Source organism: Homo sapiens, chromosome 1 (assembly GCF_000001405.40).
Source record: "Homo sapiens chromosome 1, GRCh38.p14 Primary Assembly".
Taxonomy (NCBI): domain Eukaryota; kingdom Metazoa; phylum Chordata; class Mammalia; order Primates; family Hominidae; genus Homo; species Homo sapiens.
The window spans coordinates 22,716,551-22,740,136 of record NC_000001.11 but is presented as its reverse complement, the minus strand read 5'-3'; the positions used below and the strand labels follow the sequence as shown (position 1 = coordinate 22,740,136).

At 50.9% G+C, this 23,586-nt stretch overlaps 1 protein-coding gene and 1 non-coding gene across 7 annotated transcripts in view, besides 4 other annotated features; both read right to left on the bottom strand.

Annotated features, from left to right (window-relative positions):
- Positions 1–23,586, bottom strand: part of EPHB2 (EPH receptor B2) — a 210,663-nt gene that overhangs the window by 181,364 nt on the left and 5,713 nt on the right.
- Positions 196–366: a silencer, noted in NCBI's record as "fragment chr1:23066264-23066434 (GRCh37/hg19 assembly coordinates)". NCBI's record gives its function as "represses an EF-1alpha promoter that drives an FKBP-Casp9 reporter gene in an ReSE screen in K562 erythroleukemia cells {active_cell/tissue: K562}" and the evidence as "EXISTENCE:reporter gene assay evidence [ECO:0000049][PMID:32094911]".
- Positions 2,847–3,408: an enhancer, noted in NCBI's record as "H3K4me1 hESC enhancer chr1:23063222-23063783 (GRCh37/hg19 assembly coordinates)". NCBI's record gives its function as "activates a minimal SCP1, AML or CMV promoter by ChIP-STARR-seq in naive H9 embryonic stem cells {active_cell/tissue: H9 hESC(naive)}" and the evidence as "EXISTENCE:reporter gene assay evidence [ECO:0000049][PMID:30033119]".
- Positions 16,333–16,847: an enhancer, noted in NCBI's record as "H3K4me1 hESC enhancer chr1:23049783-23050297 (GRCh37/hg19 assembly coordinates)". NCBI's record gives its function as "activates a minimal SCP1, AML or CMV promoter by ChIP-STARR-seq in naive H9 embryonic stem cells {active_cell/tissue: H9 hESC(naive)}" and the evidence as "EXISTENCE:reporter gene assay evidence [ECO:0000049][PMID:30033119]".
- Positions 20,539–20,620, bottom strand: MIR4684 (microRNA 4684). Its single transcript, NR_039832.1, has one exon. It is a non-coding gene; the product is annotated as a microRNA 4684 (primary transcript).
- Positions 22,284–22,973: an enhancer, noted in NCBI's record as "H3K4me1 hESC enhancer chr1:23043657-23044346 (GRCh37/hg19 assembly coordinates)". NCBI's record gives its function as "activates a minimal SCP1, AML or CMV promoter by ChIP-STARR-seq in naive and primed H9 embryonic stem cells {active_cell/tissue: H9 hESC(naive and primed)}" and the evidence as "EXISTENCE:reporter gene assay evidence [ECO:0000049][PMID:30033119]".

Genomic DNA, 23,586 nt, shown 5'->3' with positions numbered 1-23,586 from the left:
TCACCAGGGACCTCAGGTTGAGTACAAGGAAGCAACGAAGGGCTCAGGCAAATCGTTTGGACCCGAAGCTTCAAAACCGGTTTATTTGGATAATCCCTCACCAGGCCTCCCTGCCTCAGCGCCTGGTTTCTCTAAGGATTTATTTTGTGAAAATGTCTCTCTCAACAAGTAAGTTATCCTAGTCTGAGCCGACGAGGGAATTCTTCTCTGTGTTCAAAACCGCAAACCCCGGGCAGCCCTTCTGCAGCCCGGCACAACTTTCCGCAGCGTCAGGTTATGAATCACTCATCAAATCCGAGAACGATTCCAGGCCAGGCCGGGCATGTGGGGGAGGGCAGCTTCCTTCTACTCCCAGCTTCTGGGCTGCTGCGCAGGCTCAGACCAGCTTCTCCTCACCCTGACTCCCCAAGGGTCACCTGCCTGGGACCCCAGAAATGCTCAGACTGGGATGGGTCTGATCATCCATGACAGACCCTTTACACAGATGAATTCCTTGAGGCTGTGGACTGTCCAGGTGAGCTAGGTCTGGGTAGTTCACTTCAGAAATGTGCTCAGAGATGGGGTGATGTGGTGAAATGGAAAAGGTGGCAGAGCTAAGTCTAGAAGCCAAAACCCTAAACAGGCCAGGCACAGTGGCTCAGGTCTGTAATCCCAGCACTTTGGGAGGCCAAGGCAGGTGGATCACTTGAGGTCAGGAATTTGAGACCAGCCTGGCCAACAAGGTGAACCCCCATCTCTACTAAAAATACAAAAACTAGCCAGGCGTGCTGGCATGCGCCTGCGGTCCCTATTACTTGGGGGTCTAAGGCACGAGAATCGCTTGAACCTGGGAGGCGGAGGTTGCAGTGAGCCGAGATCATGCCACTGCACTCCAGCCTGGGTGACAGAGTGAGACTCTGTCTCAAAAAAAAGAAAAAAAACAAAAAGAATTAGTTGGACATGGTGGCAAATGCCTGTAATCCCATATACTTGGAGAGGCCAAGATAGGAGGATTGCTTAAGCCCAGGAGTTCGAGGCTGCAGTGAGCTATGATTGTGCCACTGTATTCCAGCCTGGGTGATAAAGCAAGACCCTGTTGCTAAAAAAAAGTACACAACATAATTTTTAAAAATAAAATAAAATATTAGATTTACAAAAGCAACCCTGAGCATGCTTCACTGTGCCAGGTGAGACTTGGGAGTGAGCATACTAGCTCACTGCTGGTATCCTCCCCAACCTGCTAGACTACAGGACCCAGGGCTGCAGGTCCAAACCGTTCAAGGACTGTGGGGGCACCTTGGTCTAGAGGTTCCCGCATCATGGCTTGAGAATGCCTCTCTTCCTCCTCTCTGCCAATGCCAACCTCAAGGTCTCACCTCCCCTAGAAGTTTCTGCAGCAGAGCCCAGGCACATAGTTGGTCCTCAGTAAACAATTGTTGAATGCAAGGAATGAGTAAATGGCTACAATGACTAATAACAGCACATGGGCTCCAAAAGTGGCTACTGAATGAATGGCTCGATAATGAATGATTGAATTGCAGTATGGCCCTAGAACAGGAAAGCACACGGAAGTTATCTGTAGATCTGAATCCTGGCTCTGCCATTTACTACCTGGATGACTTCTGGGAAATTACTTTGCTTCTGTGAACCTTGGTTTTCTCATCTGCAATGTGGGGTTTAATGACAGTACCTACCACAGGGGGTCATTAGGAAGCTCCTATGGGTACAGTACCAGCAGAGCTTGGCATAGGACCTGACACCCAGCCATGCTTGGAGATAGAAACTGTTATTCTCATGACTATCATCACTACATGCTTGAGGGTTTGGGGAGCTAGAACATTTGGGCACTCCTGGCTTTGGAAAGACCATCAACACAGATAAGCACAGAGCCAGGAATACAAAGGAACAAGAAAATGACAAAGGAAAAAGAGGAAGAGAAACTAAGACAAGGATCCCAAGTGAACAAAGCCATCTGTGCTTCTGTATAAATCATCCCCAAAGAGGGGGTTGGGCCAGGTAGCCTCTAAGAATCCATCCAGCCCCTAAGTGGAGAATTCTCAACTCTGCGATAAGTTAGTATTTTTTTTATCTTTAAATGGTTTGACCAGGTCTTGCCTCAAGGTAGAGCATGAACTCCAAGACCTCTGCGAGGCTAGGTTGATGTAAGAGCTGCCTTGTTCTGGCCTGAGACCCAGATCCAGTCTCATTCCAGGTTCTACCTAGTTTCAGAGGCATCTGAACAGCCTGTGCATCATGATAATTTCCTCCTACTTCCAAGGTCTTGTGGGAGTGTCATGCTGAGTTGTAAAAGCCTCTAGGATAGAGGGGGAAGTTATTTTCATGGGCAGACAATGTATTCATTCATTCTCTCATTCATAAAACATCAACCCAAGAGCCTGTTGGTAACAGACTCTGTGCTAGGCACTGGAGGCCCAACGATGAATAAGACAAGAAAGTCTCTACACTCCAGTTTAATGGGGGAGGGTGATGTAGACAAAATTAGCCATACCTTGGTGTTATAAGAATTGTTAATCAAGAGCTGAGGGTAAGTACAAAGAAGGATATACCAAGGAGGGGACATTTGAGTTGGGCCTTGAAGGATGAGTAGGAGTTCACTAGGCAGAAGCAAGAAGGGCATTCATTCTAGGCAGCAGCTGGGGCCTGAACAAAGATCTGGGGGCATGGGAGTTTATAACATGTATGTATGAAACCTATAGTTTATGGATGAGAATGACATCCACCTAGAGTTTGTGGGATGACAAGGACAGGCAGAGAAGGCCTCAGGGGCCAGGTCAACGAGCAGCTGTTTGACCTTGATTTTTTTAGATAAGGAGCCCAAGGTCTGAGCAGGAGGGTAATGTGGTCTCAGCTGCAGTTTAGAAGACTCAGTGGTGATGCTTTGTGGGGTTCAGAAGTCACTGAGATGGTCCAGGTGGGGCAGGGGGTAGACTTGAGGTCAGGTGGTAGCTGTAGGAACAGAAAGGCAGGCAGTAGCTGAATGGCCAGGGTGAGAGGGAGGCACAGCTAAAAAGGGCCGTGCTAGCTCTGGCCCTGGTGGTCTCTCCTGAGAACCACAAGGCAGCCAGATTAGAAACGGAAGCACTGGATGACTTGCCCAAGATTCCTCGTCACGCCGATGGCTGGATTCGCAGACACCTGGAGGCCTGGGGGAGTCCCAGGTTCTCCACTGTGTCTTCCCTTCTGACTCCACCCAGAGAGCCATGGCCAAGGTGGCGGCTGATCCGAGCCAATCGGTCTCCCCCAGTCTCCCCTCCTCCCCAGGTCTGACAGGGAGGGGGCCGGCTGAGTCCTGTGTCTCCATTGGCCCAAAGCTCCATTATCCTCCTAGGCAGGGTGACCCCCTGCGGCCGCCCCACAGTGCGCTGGGAAAAAAAGGCTCCTCTCTGACAAGAAAGCCCCATTGCAGGCTGGGCCCGGGGTCTGGGCAGCGCCTTTATCCACAGTGACCCTGCCAGAGTGTCAGCGGCGCAAACATGCCGCGCTGCGGAGGCTGCCCCCACCCTCAAAGGGCCTCGTGCTGAAGCTGTGAAGGGGCCCCCTCCAGGGCCTCTGGGAACCAGACCGCGGCCTGCAGGCCCCACCGAGGCTCCCAGGCTCCTTCCCACCCCCAGGGAACCATGCTTTGGCCAACACAGTGACTGAGGCGGGTCTGTGGGGTGGGGGCTGCTAAACAGAGCCTCGGCTCATGCATTGGGAAGGGGGGCCCCATGGAACTCTTTGTCCAGCCTCCAGAATTATTTGGGAGGAAAGTTGAAGGGGAGAGGCTTTTACGTCTCTGGGCCCAGCACCAGGCCTCATTCCCCACACCAACCAGGCAAGAGGGGCCGCCTTGTCCCCAAACGTTCCCCCATACCAGCCTTATCACTCCTCGCCCAATCCCCTTTCAGGTACAGTCTTGCCAAAGAGGAAAGGGAGGTCTCCTGAGCAGCCTCCTGTAGACCCCCGTGTGTACGATGAGCTCTCTTCCACAGCCCCCCGACTCTGCTTATGACAGCAACAACGATGACCACTACGATCATCTTTATTGAGCACTACCTTTGGGCCAGGGACAGGGCCACATGTCTCTTAGTGCTATTTATCATCCTCATTTTACTAATGGGGAACTGAGGCTCAGAGAGGGAAAAGAGCCTATCGAAAGTCACAGAGCGTGTAGGTGTAAGCCAGGATTTGAACCCAGGTCCCTCAGAGCCCACACTCTTATCCACTGTACAAGATACCTTAGGCTGCTCCGGTCCTGAGGGGTGCACAGGCAGGGGCTCTGCCCTAAGTCTAGTGACCCTACTGACCTCCCAGCCCTCTCCCTCAGTCCTGCTCTCTGGGCCGACTCACTGCCAAGGGCGTCCCAAGTGCCCTATAGGAATCATTAGGCTGTCCCAGGGTGGGAAGAGGATTTCAAGGAAGGCAAATTCCCATGAGTTAAGCCAAATGAGTCAAGCTTGAATTGCAGACTTTCCCATCATGTAGAGCTGAGACAGGCTCTACCCAGGGCCCTCAAATCAGACCCCTGGGAAGTGGGAGAAGGAGGCTCCCTGCTGGGAGTTCAGAGGTTGCTAGAAACCCTGTCCTCAGTAGCTGTTCCTGCTCTCAGGCCTGGGGTAAGCCAGCAGTCTTTTCCAAAGGCAGAAAGTATGGACTGTAAACTTCCTTAGAGGCCCTGGTTCTACTTCTGCTTCTTCTTCTTCTTCTTTTTTTTTTTTTGATACCGGGTCTCACTCTGTTGTTTAGGCTGCAGTGCAGTGGCATGACCATGACTCACTACAGCCTTGACCTCCTGGGCTCAAGCGATCCTCCCACCTCAGCCTCCCAAGTAGCTGGGACTATAGGCACATGCCACCATGCCTGACTAATTAAAAAAAAATTTAGTAGAGATGGGGTCACACTGTGTTGCCCAAGCTGGTCTCGAACTCCTGGCCTCAAGCAATCCTCCTGCCTCACCCTCCTGCCTCACCCTCCCAAAGTGTGCTGGGATTATAGGAGTGAGCCACCGTACCCAGCAAAGGTCCTTGTTCTTAACAGCAGCCTCAGGAAGATGCTCCCACACCATGCCCCACAGGCCACAGGAGTCGGTAGAGCAGGTTCATAGCCCTGCTGTGCAGCCTTAGTCAGTGTCACCCTCCCTTGAGCCTCAGTCTCCTACCCTGCAGGGGTGTTCTGAGATAATGTATGTAAACCATCAAACACCCTGCCCAGCACAAAGCAGAGGCTCAATAAAACAAAGTTGTATTCATTATCATCAGTACCATGGAGCAACACAACAGAGGCTTGTAATCTGTAAGTCCCCTGAATTTTTTCATAAAAGTATCTGTGTGTCTCCAACTTTCTAGGAGGGGGCAGTTCATAGCCTGTGGCAGCTTCTCAAGGATCTTCAGGACCCCAAAGAAATTAAGAACCACAGCAAAATAATACTGACATTCAGGCCGGGAGTGGTAGCTCATGCCTGTAAATCCCAGTGCTTTGGGAGGCTGAGGCAGGCAGATGCCTGAGGTCAGGAGTTAGAGACCAGCCTGGCCAACATGGTGAAACCCCATCTCTACTAAAAATACAAAAATTAGTCGGGCGCAGTGGTGCACACCTGTAATCCCAGCTATTCGGGAGGCTGAGGCACAAGAATCGCTTGAACCCAGGAGGCAGAGGTTGCAGTGAGCAGAGATTGCGCCACTGCACTTCAGCTTGGGCAATAGAGCGAAACTCAGTCTCAAAAAAAAAAAAAAAAAGAATATTGACATTCTGGTGGTACTTTATTGAGTGTATATATCTCTGGGCTTTGGTTTCTCTGCATGAAGACTGGGGAGCCCTACCCTAACTGTCTCACAAGGATGTTGTGAAGCTCAGGTGAGACTGTGGAGGGGAAAGGATGCTGTGAACCACACTGGGCTGTGCATGGGCTGTGCCGGGGGGTAAGATTTATCCTGCTCCTGCTAAAGAGGCAGCCAGGACCAGCTGCCTGCATGCAGGCTGGGCCACAGAGGCAGCTGCTCCAAAGCCCCCTCACAGTGAGGCCTGATAGAGACATGAGCCCCCTGCCCAAGCCCAGGCTGGCCCTGGGTGGGAGGCCCAGGGCAGAGCTCTGTCCTTGACTGAGAAGCTCCTGACAGGGCCACTCCTGCGGCCTCTGGGCTGGGGTTTTGTTTTTGGGGATCAGGAGGCCAAGAATCCAGTCCCAGGTTCAACTTCTAGCTCTGTCCCCACCAAATCACACCAGGCCAAGAATCCAGTCCCAGGTTCAACTTCTAGCTCCGTCCCCACCAAATCATACCAGGTCAAGAATCCAGTCCCGGGTTCAACTTCTAGCTCTGTCCCCACCAAATCATACCAGGCCAAGAATCCAGTCCCGGGTTCAACTTCTAGCTCTGTCCCCACCAAATCATACCAGCCTGATGTAGTAGCGTGTCATGAGCATGGGCTTTGGACTTAGAGAATCGCGGGTTCAAATCCCATTTCCGCCCCTTACTGGCTATGTGGCCTTGGGCAATTTACTGAACCTCTCAGAGATTCAGTTTTCCTCTAAAACAAAAATAATAATAATCCTGCCTCACAGTGGTGGATTCAGCATGGCAACATGGCACATAATAAGGCCATGGTATATGCTGATTTCCACCGTGCAAAACTACTCCGTAAAATCAATCCTTTAAAATGACTGTTAACATGAATGTTAAAATTGTATAACGCTAATATTTTCATCATTCATATCATCACTCATCACTGTGTGACTTTGCACAGGTCCTTATCCTCTTTGGGTCTTGGTTTCCCCATCTGAAAATAAAGAGGCTGGTTAGAAAGGCAGCCTGGGCCAGCCACAGTGGTTCACGCCTGCAATCCCAGCACTTTGGAAGGCTGAGGTGGGCAAATCACCTGAGGTCAGAAGTTTGAGACCAGCCTGGCCAACACGGTGAAACCCCGTCTCTACTAAAAATACAAAAATCAGCCAGGCGTGGTGGCAGGCACCTGTAATCCCAGCTACTCAGGAGGCTGAGGCAGGAGAATCGCTTGAACTGGGGAGGCAGAGGTTGCAGTGAGCCAAGACTACGCCATTGCATTCCAGTCTGGGCGACAAGAGCGAAACTCCAAAAAAAAAGAAAGAAAGAAAGAAAGAAAGGCAGCCTAGGAGGGGGAACATACAGAGAGTCTGGACAGTCCTGGATTAAAACTCAGGAAAAAATCCACTTGGGCAAATCCTTTCATCTCTTTGAGCCTCAATTTCTTCATCTGTGTTATGCGTCTCATTCTTCATCTGTATTCAACAGACACTAGCTGATTTTTTGTGTGTGATGTGCCAGGTCTGGACTAGATGCTGCTGGTAAAAAGATGGTCCTATCTCTAAGTGATGGGTCATGGTGACACCCCCGCCCAGGAACGCAGGAGGAGCAATGGAGATATCAATGTGAGCGCGCCTTGTAAGCTGCAGAGCCGCACAGTGTCAGCTGCTGTTAATGGACCTTAGAGGGCCTCCAATTGCAAATCAGAAAATAAAGCGGGGCCGGGGGGCAGTCCCTAAATATTTACCTGCTAGGCAAAAATAAGAACCCCTTCAGCAGAGGCACAAAAGGCAGCTTTAAAAATCTAGACATTCGTGTGCGTGTGTATATCTGTGTGCACACGCGCACTGAGGGTGTGGAATGAAATGAGGTCATATGGAAATGGACTATTTTTATTTCAACAAGGCATTTTAAAAATACTCTTAATTATATGAAGATGGGGTAAAGATTTTCTCAAAAATTAGAGAGAAGAGTTAGAGCCGCCCTCCGGCCCCCCACGCGCTTCCCCAAACCCTGCTGCCTCTGCCTCCAGGTTTCCACCCCCACCTTCTCTGGCCCCCTCACCTTTCCCAGGCCCCCGCAGCTCTTGGCTCCCACTCCTGGGAGCCAGTTGGCCCACACATCTGGGCAGAAGGGAGCCAGAATTCATAGAGCCCCACCCTCTAAGCCCTTTCCAAGTGGGTTCTTATGTCATCCTCACTCTGGGAGGCAGGCCCTCTAATTCCCACTGCACAGATAAGGGGAGCTCATCACCTCTGGAGCTCAGGAAGGTTGTGCTCCCAAGCTGAGGTCACACAGCCTGTAAATGGTCTGTATGGCCCAGAGCTGAATCTCCTCCGCTAGAGGGGGCTGCCTTCCAGGGCAGCTGCTGCTGAAGTTCTGCAAGTCCTGAGACCCAAGAGATCCTTCCAAAGACCAGGCAAATTCCTCTTGGGTGGGATGAAGACTGGGGCACAGGCCGCACAAAAGCATTCCGGCCCTGGCTTCTGTGCCCTGGCTTCTACACAGTGATGATTTTGTTGTTGTTGTTTTGTTTTGTTTGAGATGGAATCTTGCTCTGTTGCCCAGGCTGGGGTGCAGTGGCGTGATCTTGGCTCACTGCAACCTCCACTTCCCGGGTTCAAGCGATTCTCCTGCCTCAGCCTCCAGAGTAGCTGGGATTACAGATGCGCGCCACCACGCCTGGCTAATTTGTATAATTTTAGTAGAGATGGGGTTTGACAGGCTGTTGGCCAGGCTGGTCTTGAACTCCTGACCTCGTGATCTGCCTGCCTCGGCCTCCCAAAGTGCTGGGATTACAGGCATGAGCCACCGCGCCTAGCCGATGATGGTTATTTGTTGAGAACTTACTATGTCTCAGCCACCTACTAAGGTAAGGACTATTACCCTCTCCATTTGACAGATAAGGAAACTGAGGTTCCAAGAAGTGAAGCAACTTGTCCACAGTCACACCTAGTAAGAGCTGGTGCCAGGACATGAACCCAACTGGTGTGACTGCAGAGCCCCTCGGTGGTCCGCTAATCCCCCAGTGCAGCCCCCAGCTCAAAAGAGGGAAGGGGCCTTGTGCACAGTCGCTCAGCAAGTCCTGATGGGGGTGGATTTGGGCCCGGGCCAGGCTCTTCTCTGTCCCTCTGCCCTCCATTCCCCCCGCCAGAATGATCTAGCACATGCTAGAGTCACCAACCTGGCTGCCAGGAGATCGCATTGTCAATACATTATCAATTTACATTAGAAAGAAAGAGACATATGTTTCCATGCCAAAAATGCCAACAGAGCCTCCTGGGGTGAGTGGGGGCAGGCCAGAGGGAGAAGACATTTAAGGTCCATTTTCTCTCCGCCCCCTCTGGATCCCCCAAACTATGTGAGGCAGCCTGGGGAGCAAAACCAGGGCCACTTACTGACAACTCCCCACCACTGCCCGCTTGGTCCAGCCACCACCGTCTCGTGCCTGGACTCTGTGATGGTTCTTCCTGTCCCCTGCTCTGTCCCTCACTCTCTGGCCTCTTAAGACAGAGTGGTGCTTTCTGAACCCAGGTTAGATCCTGCCACCTCCTCAAAGCCCTGCACCGCTCCCATCTCACTCCAGGTAGAAGCCAAAGTCCTGCCATGGCTGGTCCCTCTGTGTCACCTGCTCCCATTCTCCCCTGGCCCTCCCGCTCCAGCCACGCTGGCTGCCTTGCACACCCCTGTCACAGGGCCTTTGCCCAGCTCTCCTCACTGCCTGAAACACCCTCCCCCAGATATCCCTGAACCCCCTCTCTTGCTTCCTTCTGGCCTCTGCTCAAACGTCACCTCCTCAGAAAGGCCTTCCTGATCCCTCCTCTCGCTGGCCCTCCCATCTCTGCAGCAGTTTTCTTCTTAGCACCATCCCTACTTAAGCTACTCACTAGATATCTGGCATCAGTCCTGTCCATTAGAATAAAACCTCCATAGGGCAGGACAATCCATGCTGCCCCCTGCAACTTGTCCACAGCCACATGGCTGGTAAGAGCTTGGGATGTCAAGACCCCCAAAGGCCAGGGATCCCTGACACCTCCCACCCAAGTGCCCACAAGAAGTGGGGGAAGGGCCACCTGGCTTGATATCCGTTGGATCTGAGTGCACGTCTGTCCCACTGACTAGCTGTGTGGCCTCATCAAGCCACCCCCGCCTCCGCCCCTGGCTCTGAGTATTAGAAGCCTCATCTGTCCATCCAGGAGAACAATACCAGTGGGACCTTCCTCCCAGGGGGCTGTGCACAGCCAGTGTGTGAGCTCCCCAAGGCCAGGCCCATGATGCCTAATTCACCTCGGATCCCACACCCCCACCCTGGGGCCTGGCCCTGTGCCAAGCCCCTGCAGACTTCAATCCCACTCCGTTCAATTAAAGGGAGATGATGGATGTCACAGCACTCTGCCAACTGTCACCCAAAAGAACAAACAGAAGCATATCCTCCTTTCAGTCATCTGAGAGCCGTGCATTCATTCATTCATTCTTCCAATCAATATATATCAGTTGAGCACTTACTAGGGGCTGGGCGCTATGCTAGGCCCAGGGAATCTAAGTGATGAAGCAATTGGATCATGGTCCCTGCCCTTGTAAAGTTGACGGTCTGGTAGGAGAGGTAGAGATGTTCAAAGAAACACATTAATTATTTTAAAATTATGATGTTGACAAATGCAGCAAAAGATTGGCCCATGGAGCTATGCTCTGGGAACACTTCCTTGAAAACATGGAGGATGGGTGAGAGTTATCCAAGGATAAGGGAACAGCATTCCAGCTAAAGGGACCAAGCAGTGCAAAGGCCCTGTGGTGGGAAGAGTCTAGGAATTGCAAGGAACTGAAAGGCCAGAGTGGCTAGAACCCCTAGACTGAGGTGGGTGATGGAAATTAGGCAGAGTAGGCAGGAAGCAGGCCGCACAGGGCCTATGGGCCAAGGAAGAGTGACCCAAAAGCAACAGGGAGTTGTGGAAATGCTCTGGAGCAACAACATGACTTGATTCATGATCCAATTCTGGGTCATGTTCTCCTAATATAGGTCTGTGTGTTTCTGTCTCCCAGTGTGGCTATGGGCCAGGGTGTCAGGCTTGAAATCCTAATTTGGAGATTTCAAGACAAAAGGTCATCTCCTTCCAGCATCTCATGCCCAGGTGAGAATGTCCACACCCCTCGGAATGGGGCATTCCAAAGCTGCTGGGTGCCCACTGGCTGAGGTCTACTTGCTGCCCAAGGTCTGCCCAACAGCACAGATGTCACAGAGAATTACAACCTGCCCAGAAGTTCAGGAACCTTGGTGTAGCTCCCCCTGTGATCCTAACTGGGAGGCATTACCCCGAGTGAGCAGATTATCAGGATGTGTAATTTCTGGAATAAACACAGCTGTGTTTGTTTCTCCACGCAGCGCTCCAGACAGAACGGCAGCCTGGCCCGCCGCGTGCAGCTGGAACCTCGCACCTTGGGACAGATGCCGTCAGGGAGCCGAGAAAACACTCCTCCCGCAGGCCACTGGGAGCTGTCATGCAGGCGGATTTGCAAGGAGGCCAATTCAGGGCCCCTAAGGAAGCAAGTGATGAGACCACAGAGGTGCTGAGGTCCCAGAGGGGAAGTGAGCATTGAGACACCTCCAGAGGCCTTTTCCCTTCGGGATTGGGGGTCATGATCAGGCAGGACAACGGGCCTTAGAGTTGTCGGCCATGGGAAGATCATCCCTAGTGTGATCAGTCCATGTGGGAGGACCGTGAAAAGGTCAGAGGCCAGCCCTGGAACCTTCCAGGTGGGAAAACTGAAGTCCAGAAAAGGGGAATGGGGGGATTAGGGTAAGAGACATGGTCTATCCAGCACCTACTTCATGCCAGGCCCCACAATAGTTCCCAGAAGCACTCACCTGGCTCTGCAGCAGCTGTGCAGCCCTGCAGGCTGTGGGGCCCCACAAAGCAGGGCTTCTATCCCAGTTCCATCACCCAGGAACTGTGTGACCACGAGTAAGTCATGTGTAATCTCTCTGAGGCTCAGTTTCCTCCTCTGCAAAGTGGAGATAATCATACCAATTCCACACCTCAGGATTGTTCTAAGGATTAAACAGGATTCTGCATGGAAAGCATTTTCTGCAGTGCCAGGCACATTGTGAGGAACCCGTAAATCATATGTATTCCTTATTCATTCATTCATTCATTCAGTAATTTTTTACTGAGCACCTGCTAAGTCCTAGGTGCCATGCTGAGCATTTGTAAACAAAAGAGATAAAAAAATCCCTGCCTTTGTGAAGTTTACATTCTTACAGGGAGGTGATAGGAAAAATGATGACTAAATAATGTTTTATTTATTATTATTATCCCCATTTTACAGCCGGGTAAACTGAGGTTCAGAGTGGTTAAGACATTTTTTAAAGGCTATTTATTTTTATTCCACCTTACTCTCAAGAGGGCTAGAGGCAGATGTTAAATACTATGTCTGAGTCTCAGCCAGGTACAGTGGCTCACACCTGTAATCCCAGCATTTTGGGAGGCTGGGGCAGGAGGATTGCTTGAGCCCAGGAGTTCAAGACCAGCCTGGGCAATACAGAGGAGACCCCATCTCCATTAAAAAAAAAAGTTTTTTTTTTTTTTGTTTTTTTTTTTTAAAGAAAAGAAAACATAGGCAAAGACAGGAGAGGAAAAAAGAAAAGAAAAGAAAATATGTTCAAGCCTCCACAGCTAGAAAAGGGAGACACCAACTTATCTCCCTTGGAAGGAGTTTTATGCTATAGATCTAGCCCCAAGTTCCAGCCGTGCCACTATCTCTGTGTGTCCTCAGGCAACTAGCTGTCCCCTTCTGGGCCTCAGCTTCCCCATATGTCCAGCTCTGACACTCTGCATATTCTGGGATGGTTCTCAGGGTGCTGCTTGGGTTGTCCAGGCTCGATGGAAGAGCTGAGGCCCAGCAAGGTACTGGCAACCATTCCCTGGCTCAAGGAGTGAAGTGGGCAGGGTGGGACAGGATGCGGAGGAGCCCCCTGGGAGCTGTGGGGCTTCAGTGAGGGGAGAAGGCAGGCAGGCAGCTGCTCTGCCCTAACTCGTTCACTCTGCCCTTGTCCCTGCCATTGTGGCCCATCCACCAAGGATGTGGGCTATGTCCTGGCCTCTCCCAACTGCTGGAGTAGCTGGCTGGGCAGAAATAGCCACACCCAGGGTCTGGCTTAATGGAGGCTAGGCCCATATAGCCCCTCCTGGCCTCCAGCTTGCCTCTCCCTGCTCTGGATCCTCCTCCCATGCCAGGCTTCATGGCCATCTTCCTGAACCTTTCCCTCCTTTTGATTTCTTTCAGTGGCTTCCTACTGCTTCCAATGTCAGCCATAGCTCATCACTCAAGGCTTCTCTTAACGGACTCAAACCTCTCCTGCCATTTCTTTCTCACACTTTGGTTCACCATGGCTCATACAAACCTACCCCTTTCCAGCCTCTAGGCCTTTGCCTAGGCTGTTCCCCCTGCTAAGAATGCCCTTCTTTCCATCTACTATGTATCAAAATCCTACCTACTAAATAATGCCATCCTGACGGCACAGGCTGGAGGACTTTCCCCTCCGCACTCAACACATTCCATCTCATACACAAGTATGTACTAAAAAGTGTGACCTTGGGTATATCACTAAACATCTCAGAGCCTGCTTTTTTACCTGCAAAATGAGCATTATTAACTATTACGGGCTGGGCATGGTAGCTCACACCTGTAATCCCAGCACTTTGGGAGGCTGAGGCGGGCAGATCACTTGAAGTCAGGAGTTCAAGACCAGCCTGGCCAACATGGTGAAACTCCATCTCTACTAAAAATATAAAAAATTAGCCGGGTGTGGTGGTGCACGCCTGAAATCCCAGCTACTCAGGAGACTGAGGCAGGAGAATCGCTTGAACCTGGGAGGTGGAGGTTGCAGTGAGCCAAGATCATGCCACTGCACTCCAGCCTGGGTGACAGAACGAGACTCCGTCTCATAAAAAAAAAAAAGAAAAAAAAAGAAAAAGAAACTATTATGCAGGGTTGTTGAGATAAATTAGAGTATGTCAGAATCTCACCTAGGATGGTGCCTGGCACTTAGTGGGGACTTAACGGTGGAGGCTGCTATGATCATGATATTGATGAGGGAAGAAGAAAAGAAGAAGAAAGAGCAGAAAAGAAAGAAGAGGTAGAGGAGGATGAAGAGGAAAAAGCAATGGAGTAGGAGAAGGAGAAAAAGGAGGAAGGAGGCCTTGCCTATCACCTCTACTGGGATATAATTCTTTGCCATCAGAACATTGATTCTCTTTAATTTCCCTCTATGTCCCCTAGCATCCTAGAGTCTTTCAAAAATGATTGCTGAATGGATGGACAGATGGATGGATGAAGGAGGGAGGGTGGGATTGTGAGAAGGAAGGATGTACGGACAGATGAACAGAAACAGATCAGTCTGGAGGAGACGGAGTGTGCTATCCCAGAAGCCTAGCAGCAGAGCATCCCACTGGCAGCAGAGGCTTCTGGGACCAGATGCCAAATCTCTTCCCCTGCTGTTGCATCTCCCCCTGGCTCTAAGCTCCTGTGCTCCTGGCCAGCATCAGTCTGCTCTCAAGGTGGAATGAGTAGAAGCTCGGGGCAGCTGACACCCAGGGGAGTTCCAGCTCTTCCCCCACCTGTCACCAGCCTTTGACAGCAGGAACATATCTCCAAAAGTGTGGGCCAAGTCAATGGGAAAATAGGATTTACTTTACAGAAATTCACTTTGGGGGCCAGCTTCTCCAGAACTCCCCAGTGCAAAAACCTTGGCAAATCCATAGTCAATGGCTCAGAAGGTTTCTCCAAACCTGGGGAGTGTGCTGTTTGCTAGCTCTTTCCAGGGCCAGAAACTGGAAAATGAGGAAATGTCACAGTCCAGATACAAAAGGGAGTCTCGGGGGGAGAAATGCACTCTGGTTTTTGGTGTTTGTTTATTTATCCATTGATTTCATCGATTTATCCAACCAACTATCCAAAACAGGCAATCATCCTGCCATTGTCCCTCTACTCATGAAACCAACCTGTTACCTATCTATCTACCTCTCCATCTATCCAGCCAGCCAGCCAACCATCAACCACTCAACAATCTACCTCACCATCAACCTGCCCGTCATTCACCCAACCATCCAATCCATGCACTTATCCTTTATCTATCCAGCCACTTATCCATCTAACCATCAATAACTCATCCACTCATCCAACAGCTGAGCTGCTCATCCAACCGTCTAACTGTACACTACCCAACCAGCATGGATGAGAATCTCCCAGTATGGTGGGGGAGAAACCTATACATGGTATGGCATAACCTAGGCAATATAAAAGGGCTGCGTGCAAGGTGACACCAAGGACACAGATGCCACCAAGAGCAGAAGGGGGAGGGGCCAGTGAGAGGGATCAGAGCAGGTTTCACACAGGAAGAGATGCTCAAGCTTCATCTTAACAGGTAGCAAGAACTGACCAGGGAGAGATGGTGAAAAGGGTACCCAGGCAAGGAGGAGAGGGAGGAGCAACATGAAACAGTATGGTGGATTCTAGGAGCCCAAAGCCTTGAGTCCTCAAAACTACTTGGTTAGCTGTGATCCCTGGGCCAGTCCCCAGTTTTTCCAAGTCCACCGGACTCTATAATTCCCCCTTGATTCCTAGAGAGAAAGGGCCATGTCCTGCGGCAGCTGGGTGGGAAGCTGCCATCTGCTGCTCTGGGCTGTGCTCTGATGGCTACAATAGGGTTAAACCCAGGAGGGGGAGAAAAGTGGGTGCCCTAAGATTTTGTGAAACAGGCTTTGCTGCCAAGCAAACCCAGGTATAAATCCCAACTTCTTATTTTGCAACGAGTTATTTAACTTCTGAGTCTTTCTTCCCTCCTCTGAAAATGAAGAAAACACCAAGAGCTCTATGCCAGGCCATTGTGAGGACAGAAGCAGCTAATATAGGGGGAGTACTTGGTAAGCTGCGGGTAAGACCAGTTACTCTTCCTGGTCGCTGCCAATACTCAAGTCCTACTGTGTGCCAGGCAAAGTGATCTAAAACAGGGGTTAGAGAGCTGGCCTTAGACAACACGAGTCAATTATCAGTAAATGTTAGTTCTCTGTCCATGTATGCAAATTATGTACAAATGGTTCAGAAAAAATATATATCTCTACATTACACACGCACACACACACACACATGCAAGGGGGAAAGGGGAGCAGAGGGAGTGAGAACACACAGGAGAGCAAATGTGGTAAACATGTTGATGATTGTTGAATCTAGGTGAAGGCTAGACAGGTGTTTTACTCTGCTTTCAACCTCTCTGTATGTTTGAAATGTGAAAAAGAAAAGAAATCAGCTCTTTCTCCATTTATCTTGGAGCCAGACGCCTAAGCTTGGATCCTAGCTCTACCATTACTGGCCAAATGGCCATGGGTACATGAATGCCTTCTCTAAGCCTTAATTTTTTCATCTGTAGGATTCAGCTAACAATAATACCTAAGCCCAGTGCCTGCTCCTTAGCAAGTCCTTAATACATGCTAGTTGCTGCTGGTATTATTACTACTATTATTATTGCCTTTGAGTGGCTGAGATACTGAGGATGAGAGAGGCTTGGTAAAACAACTGCTTTAAAAAAATACATTAGCTCTTTTAATTCCTCAAACAACACCATGGGGTAGGTGACAGTATCCTCACTTTACAGATGAGAAGCTAAAGCTGAAGAGGGTGAAATGGTTTGCCCCTGACACCGCCAGTGAGTGGAAAGACTAGGATTTGAACACAGTTCTGCAAGTCTACAAAGTTCAGGGTCTTTCCCCCGATATCTCCTCCCTCTCCTGGCCTCAGGCCAAGGGGCCCAGCCTCATCACCCTTTCAACTCCAGAAGGGGCTGGTCAGAGGGAGTCCTGAGCTTTGCTGGCATGGCTGTGCTTCCGGGCCAGCCAGGGGCACCCAGTGTCAGGGGCTCCTTGGCAGCTCAGGAGCCCTTTTCCACTGTTCTCCCGAGAGCTGCGGGAGCTGCCATCTGAGGCCGTGGGGAGTGACAGCTGACGCTGACGGAGACAGGCAAGAGGATGTACCGGCCAGAGCCCTGACTCGAACAGACTCCCTGGGCCATGGCCTTTCGTGGGTTCCAAAAAGGCCCTGCGGGCTCTGGACGAGGCTGTTCCCAGGCTCTGCCTCCCCGTGAGAGGCGGAGAAGCCCCATTCAGGCGGGACGCATCCCACTGTGCGCTAAGCCGCTTTCTCCCCACTTACACGTTTCAGATGCTTTTTGTCCTTCCGGCTTCCCATGGACTCAGGCCAAGTGACAAGTTGGTGCCGTGGACATATGTCGTCGCCATAATGGGAATGTTGACCCCACGCTCTCTCCCTGCTGGGGCCAGGCAGCTTGCACCCCGCCCCAGTGCTTGGCATGCCCCATTCTCAGTCACACAGGACTCCTTCCAGCTCCCCAAATACATCACACACTCACGGGCCTCCTATCCGGATCTTTGCAGATGCTGTTCCTGTTGCCTGGAATGGCTGCCTTGCTGCTTCTTCACCTGGCTCTTCCTTAAGAATCATCTTAGAAGTCGCCTCTTCCAGGACGCCTTGTCTAACCTCATTGTATAGTTCAAGAAGCTGAGGCTCAAAGAGCTAAGAGGGCCAAGGTAACACTGTTAAGTGTCAGAGCCAGAGGTCCAACGTAGCATGGTTCTAGTCTAAGACCACGCTGCTTTTCATTCATTCTGCCAACTCTACCTCCCTCAAGAAGAAACCTAGGGAAGACATGCTTTCTGCCTTCAAACATGGCAGATGCCTGCAAGATGGCTCTTACGTTCCTGGATTGTTCTGGAGCGTGGAAAACAGGGATCATGCAGGGAAGTTACAGGGAAAGAGACTCCCCATTTCAAGGTGAGGAGCCATGTTTTAACACCTCCCAGTGCCTAACAGCTATGTAACCTTGAGTAAGTCATTGAACCTCAACTTCCCCATTTGTACAATGGTGCTAACAATACCCTTGCTATTTCTTTACCCCAAATACCTAAGGTTGTAAACTGCCAGCCAGTGAGCCAAATCCAGCCAGCAAACATGGTTTGGTTTGGCCAGAACTGTATTTTAGAATAAAATGAGTAAACATTCAAAAACCAGTTTTCAGACCAGGCATGGTGGCTCACGTCTGTAATCCCAACAATTTGGGAAGCTGAGGCAGGTGGATCACTTGAGGCCAGGAGTTTGAGACCAGCCTGGCCAACATGGCAAGACTCCGTCTCTACCAAAAAGAAAAAAAAAATGCTGGGCATGGTGGTAGGTGCCTGTCTTTACTCAAAATACAAAAATTAGCCAGGCGTGGTGGCACATGATTGTAGTTCCAGCTACTCAGGAGGCTGAGGCCCAAGAATTGCTTGAACCTGGGAGGCAGAGGTTGCAGTGAGCCAAGATAGTGTCACCGCACTCCAGCTTAGGCAACAGAGCGAGACTCAAAACAAAACAAAACAAAAACCAGTTTTCCCATAAGCATCAGAACTTTGCAAATCAGGCTGGGCGCAATGGCTTATGTCTGTAATCCCAGCACTTTGGGAGGCTGAAGAAGGAGGACTGCTTGAGTTCACAAGTTCAAGACCAGCCTGGGCAACATGGTGAAAGACTCTGTCTCTACAAAAAAAAAAAAAATGCTGGATGCGGTGGCAGGTGCCTATGGATCCAGCTACTTGGGAGGCTGAGGTGAGAGAATTGCTTGAGCCCAGGAGGTCAAGGCTAAGTGAGCTGCGATTGCGTCACTGCACTCCAGCCTATGAGACAGAGTGAGACCCTGTCTAAGAAAAAAGAGAGAGGAAAAAAAAGAACTTTGCAAATCAGAAGATGTGGCAAAACCGGACACAGATTCCTGTGTGACAACATGGTCAGGAGTGGGTAGCACCTGCCTTTTTTAGACTGGACATGCGCTCTTACTGGGGGCACTATTATACTTCCAACAGTCAAGTCACCTCACTCATTCACAACGCAGGCCAGCTCACAAGTCTGGAGTCTCTGATCAAGACTCTTGTGATTTATTCCCGGTATTACGTTAGGCCAGATTTCCTGGTCTGCCAGCAAACAGAAGGCCAATTTCTTGCTCAATGGTTTAATGCGTCAACTTTGACTATGTGTTGCCCAGGTCCCCCTCAACTGTCTTTGGAAGCAACGCTCAGAGCTCAGTGGTCCCACCCACTCACTTCACTGTTTGTACACATTTCCATGTGCTCTGGGGCCAGCCTGTGGTCCAAACTTAATTTGACAATAACTGGCCCATGCCTTTAGAATTTTTTCTTTTCCTCTAATGCTTCCCCACTCCTGCGATGACCTCTGGCCAAGGTGGGAGTGACAACCAGTCACCCCCTTACCCGGTCTTTCATAGTAGAATGAAGAACACAGTTACTCCTCGGCACAGCCTTCTGTAGTGCCTGAAATTATGATGCCCAGTTCGCTGATAAGGAAAATGAGGCCTAGAGGGGTGAAGTGACCTGCCCCAGGCCACAGGAGCACCAGGGACCCATCTTTTCAGTTCAATCCCACCAGCCCAAGGCCCCTTTCTCTGGCCTCACACCTCATACTAGGTCTTGAATATCTACAACTCCAGGCTGCCATTTTTCATGAATTTTAGGTTCGTTTATTGCACAAACATCTATCTAATATCTATCATGAGCCAAGCCTTGTGCTGTACATAGTGAAGTGGAAAGTCCCTGCCTTCTCAGAAGAGGCAGATAACACTGAAGACAATTCGGGGGTAAGTGCTGGGGCGGGGGGGGGGGGGAATGAGATTTCTGGCTTCCTGTTGCCTCCCCACCGCCATCCCTGGACTGGACGATAAACTACCTGTGAGAGGCTGTCTCCAAATATGGCTGCCAACAATTCCTCCCCCTACTAAACACGAAGCCACTCCTCCCAGTAAGGGGGCGTCTAGATTCAAGTTTGGACCACAGGTTGGCCCAAGAAACATGGACAACAACAGGGTGCAGGGGCGGGCACTGAACTCTGAGTGTCACCTGATTCAGTGGGTCAGGACATGTTGAGTGGGACGCTGGATAACCCACCATTAAATTTTCCATGCTGAACAGCTGAGCAAGAAATGGGACTTCTCTTCAAGGATAAAACAAAAAAATCAAGCCCAGTATATTTTCCTTTTCCTTGAACCTGATGAGGAAGCCTGGGATGAATCTGAGCTGGTGTTGTGACTGGCTTTGACCACCACAGAAGGCTGCAGGGGTGACACTTTGTGACATTAGAGCCCAGCCCTTAAGAAGCCTTGCAGTTTCCATTTCACCATCTTGGGAGCTAATTGCCATGGATAGAGGCGCAGTCTAGACTAGCAAAGGATGGGAGATAGCGAGGAGCGTAGGGGGACCAGCCTTCCAGCCTTCTCTATGAGGGCCTCAAAGATGTATGTGAAGCCACGATGGAATTTCCAGCCCAACCTAGCTGAGTGCAGCCTCCTGAGTGATCCCAACTGACAACCCGGGGAACAGAATAAGCACCCAGCTGAGCCCAGCCAATCCACTGAATCAGGACAACTAAGAAATCATTATTGTTTTAAGCCAGTAGGTTTTGTGGTGGCTTGCTAAAGATAAGTGATATGCTTTTCAGGAGTGGAGTCCTGTACTTTTTGTAGCTCTCCCTTCCCTTGCCTGAACCCCTGAACCCTGGCAATGGGCACTGAATCCTGGAGCTGGAAGAGGCCTCCAAAATCACTGAGTCTCACCCCTGTCATTTTATAGAAGAGAGAGCTGAGGCTCGGGAAGCCATGCAATTGACTCCAGGTCACACAGGGTAACAGGGGCAGATCCAGGAGGCAAACTCAAGCCCTTACAGGGGTTGAGCACCAAGGGTACGTCTCCACCGACTTGCAACACACCAAGACAAATGTATGTTGCAAGTCAGTAGAGAGGTACCCCTGGTGCTCACACATTCTGTCTTAAGAGGCAGTCACTCCAGCCAACTGTGGCCATGTGGGAATGTGGGCCCTGTGAAACCAGATTGTCTGACTTTTCAGAAACGCCAGAAACAGGACTTTTCTGTAAAATCTCTTGATTTTCAAATGTTGGCTAAGAATTTGAACTGGATAGATGAGCTATTAAGATTGGCCCTGGGCTTCAAGCTTGGTCCCGCTGCTGGCTTTGGGCGAGTCATATTATCTCCCAGACCTCAGTTTCCTCATCTCTAAAGTGGGCCCCGTGGCTCCTGCCCCTTTCAGGATGGCTGTGAAGGCCTGATGAGCTATTGTATTTGGAAGTACAAGCTGCAAATGGCCCTGTGACTGTTTCGTAGTCTCCATTCTCTGTGGAGGCGCCCCTTACAACATAATGAGTTAACACCCGATTTGTCTAAGTTAGAACAACATTATTCTGACCATTATCACAGAGATTGCATTTTTATGGCAGGTTTGTGAGTTGTAGAACCCTCCCATTGCATTATCTCAGGATGTTGATGGAGCTGGAAGCTGGACAGCTGCCTTAGAGACCCTCATCAGAGCCAAGCCTTTCCTCTGAGCAGGGAGGCACATTCTAGAAGTGGAGAAGAGCATGAGCTCTGGAGTCACCAGACTTGGGTTTCAATCGCTGCCTCACCACTCCCTAGGTGTCCTTGGGCCAGTCACTCCTCTCAGAGCTTTGGTTTTCTCATCTGTAAAATGGGCACAATAATACAACGACCTGTGGGGCTCTTGGGGCAACTGCACAAGGCAACACACATAATGCTGTTAGTACAATGTCTGGCACAAGAATTGACAGCTGCTGGGCGCGGTGGCTCACACCTGTAATCCCAGCACTTTGGGAGGCCGAGGCAGGTGGATCGCCTGAGGTCAGAGTTCGAGACCAGCCTGACCAACATAGTGAAACCCCATCTCTACTAAAATATACAAAAAATTAGCCGGGCATGGTGGCAGGCATCTGTAATCCCAGCTACTCAGGGAGGCTGAGGCAGGAAAATCTCTTGAACCCGGGAGGCAGAGGTTGCAGTGAGCCGAGATTGCACCACTGCAGTCCAGCCTGGGCAACAAGAGCAATACTCTGTCTCAAAAAAAAAAAAAAAAAAAAAAAGAATTGACAGCCATTCCCATGATCATGGCAGGGAAGGTGGTGCCTGGCAGGCACTGGGCAAAGAAGGAGGGTACAGCCATGAAGGAGTCTACCCCTTTCCCAGATTAGGGAGGCTGAATTGGAGTGGGGAGGGGGCCTTTGAGAAAACCTGGATGGTACCCTGAGTGGGCAGGCTGGAGGGGCCTCTCAGCTACTTGGCAAGCCAGTCAGACCCTTGCCCTGTAAGGCTCAGAACACAGTGGGTGGGGGAGAGCTGGAGATGAAAAACCTGGTACACTGGCCCCCTGTTCCCCTACTGTGAATTGAGCTTCCCATTGGTAGAAAGCAAGGATAGCAACCGTTCACATTTATTGCAAGCTTAGCACACCTGAGGCACACACTCAGCTTAGTCTTCCTCAGATTAACACATCCATTGCTCACAACCATCTCAAGAGCTAGGAACAATGATTACCCCCATTTGAAAGATGAGGAAACCAAGGCTCAGAGAGGTGAAAACACAAGCCAGAGGACACACAGTACGGAGCAGTCTGACTCCACACACATTTCCTGTAACCCCCAGGCTCTGCTGTTTATAGAACAGGAGAGAAAGTGATCAGGGCTAAGCAAAGCCTCTGTAGGACTTCAGAGAAAGGGACAAGTCATTCTGGCCAGGGGCACGAGGGTGCTGCTGACATTTAATGGTTACGGAAACTAATAAAGAATGGACACAGCTGAGTGCCAGGCAGTTCTGCCAGTCATGGTACACAGCATCTCACTGAATCCTCGCCATGAGCCTCTGACACATGCGCGGTATTCTCCAGTTTCCAGATGAGGAAGCTGAGGCTCAGAGAGTGGATCACTTGGTCAAGGCCACACAGCAGGCAAGGTCCCCTCTTCTGAGGACACTCCCACCCCACAGGGGCTGCAGCAGGGGGGCAGATGGCTCCAGGAAGCTCACCTAGTGAGGGTGTCCTAGGCAAGCCCCCAGATGACACGGGGGTACTGGGGAGACAGGTGTCCCCCTCCTGCACCCTCCGGAAGGCAGCTGCTTTAAAAGGCCCTAAAATGCTTTCAAGGCAGCCTTATCAGAAGGCCTGAGCTGATCCCAATCAGGGAGCCTCCAGGTGCTGCCACAATCAACAACTGCCTGGCCTGCTGCCCCACCCCTGGGAGCTGTGCAAACATTCTTTCCTTCCCTGCCTTCCCCCAGCTAACCCTCTTTTTATGCACGAGCCAGCGGCAGCCAGGGCTGGTGGGCGCTAACTCTGATTGATTTCACTTCATTTCAGTCTTTTCCAGTTTCCTGCTGAGGTTTCTCTTCCTCTTTCCCAGGAGTCCTGTGTTTTATCATAGGCCGCTGGGGGGCAAATTTGCCTGCCTAATGGAAAGACCTGGAGAGTATGTTAAAAATACAGACTCCCCAACCTTGTTCCCCATCTCCCAGATCTCCAGCTAAGTCAGGCATGCAGGTGCCAGGTCAGGAGACGGGTCCTTGGTCGGAGGTGTGGAAGATCCTCCCGTCAGGAGGCCCACCGTGCTCTGCATCTCCGCCACCCTCAGTGGGAGCATGGGTCCCCTGCCTTGCCCAGCCCAGGCATCCTGTCACCAGCAGGCTCCATCTGCCCCTTCCTGTTAGGGGCCTTTCTATGTGCAGAGGTCCAGTCTCCAGTCTAAACTCACAGGTGAGCTCTGGGCAGGCAGAGTTGACCAGAGGCTACCACGGGCTGAATGCCCAGCAAACTGGCCCATAGAATCTGTCCCAGGCAGGGCACAGTGGCTCAGGCCTGTAATCCCAGCACTTTGGGAGGTCAAGGTGGGTGGGTCACTTGAGGTCAGGAGTTCGAGACCAG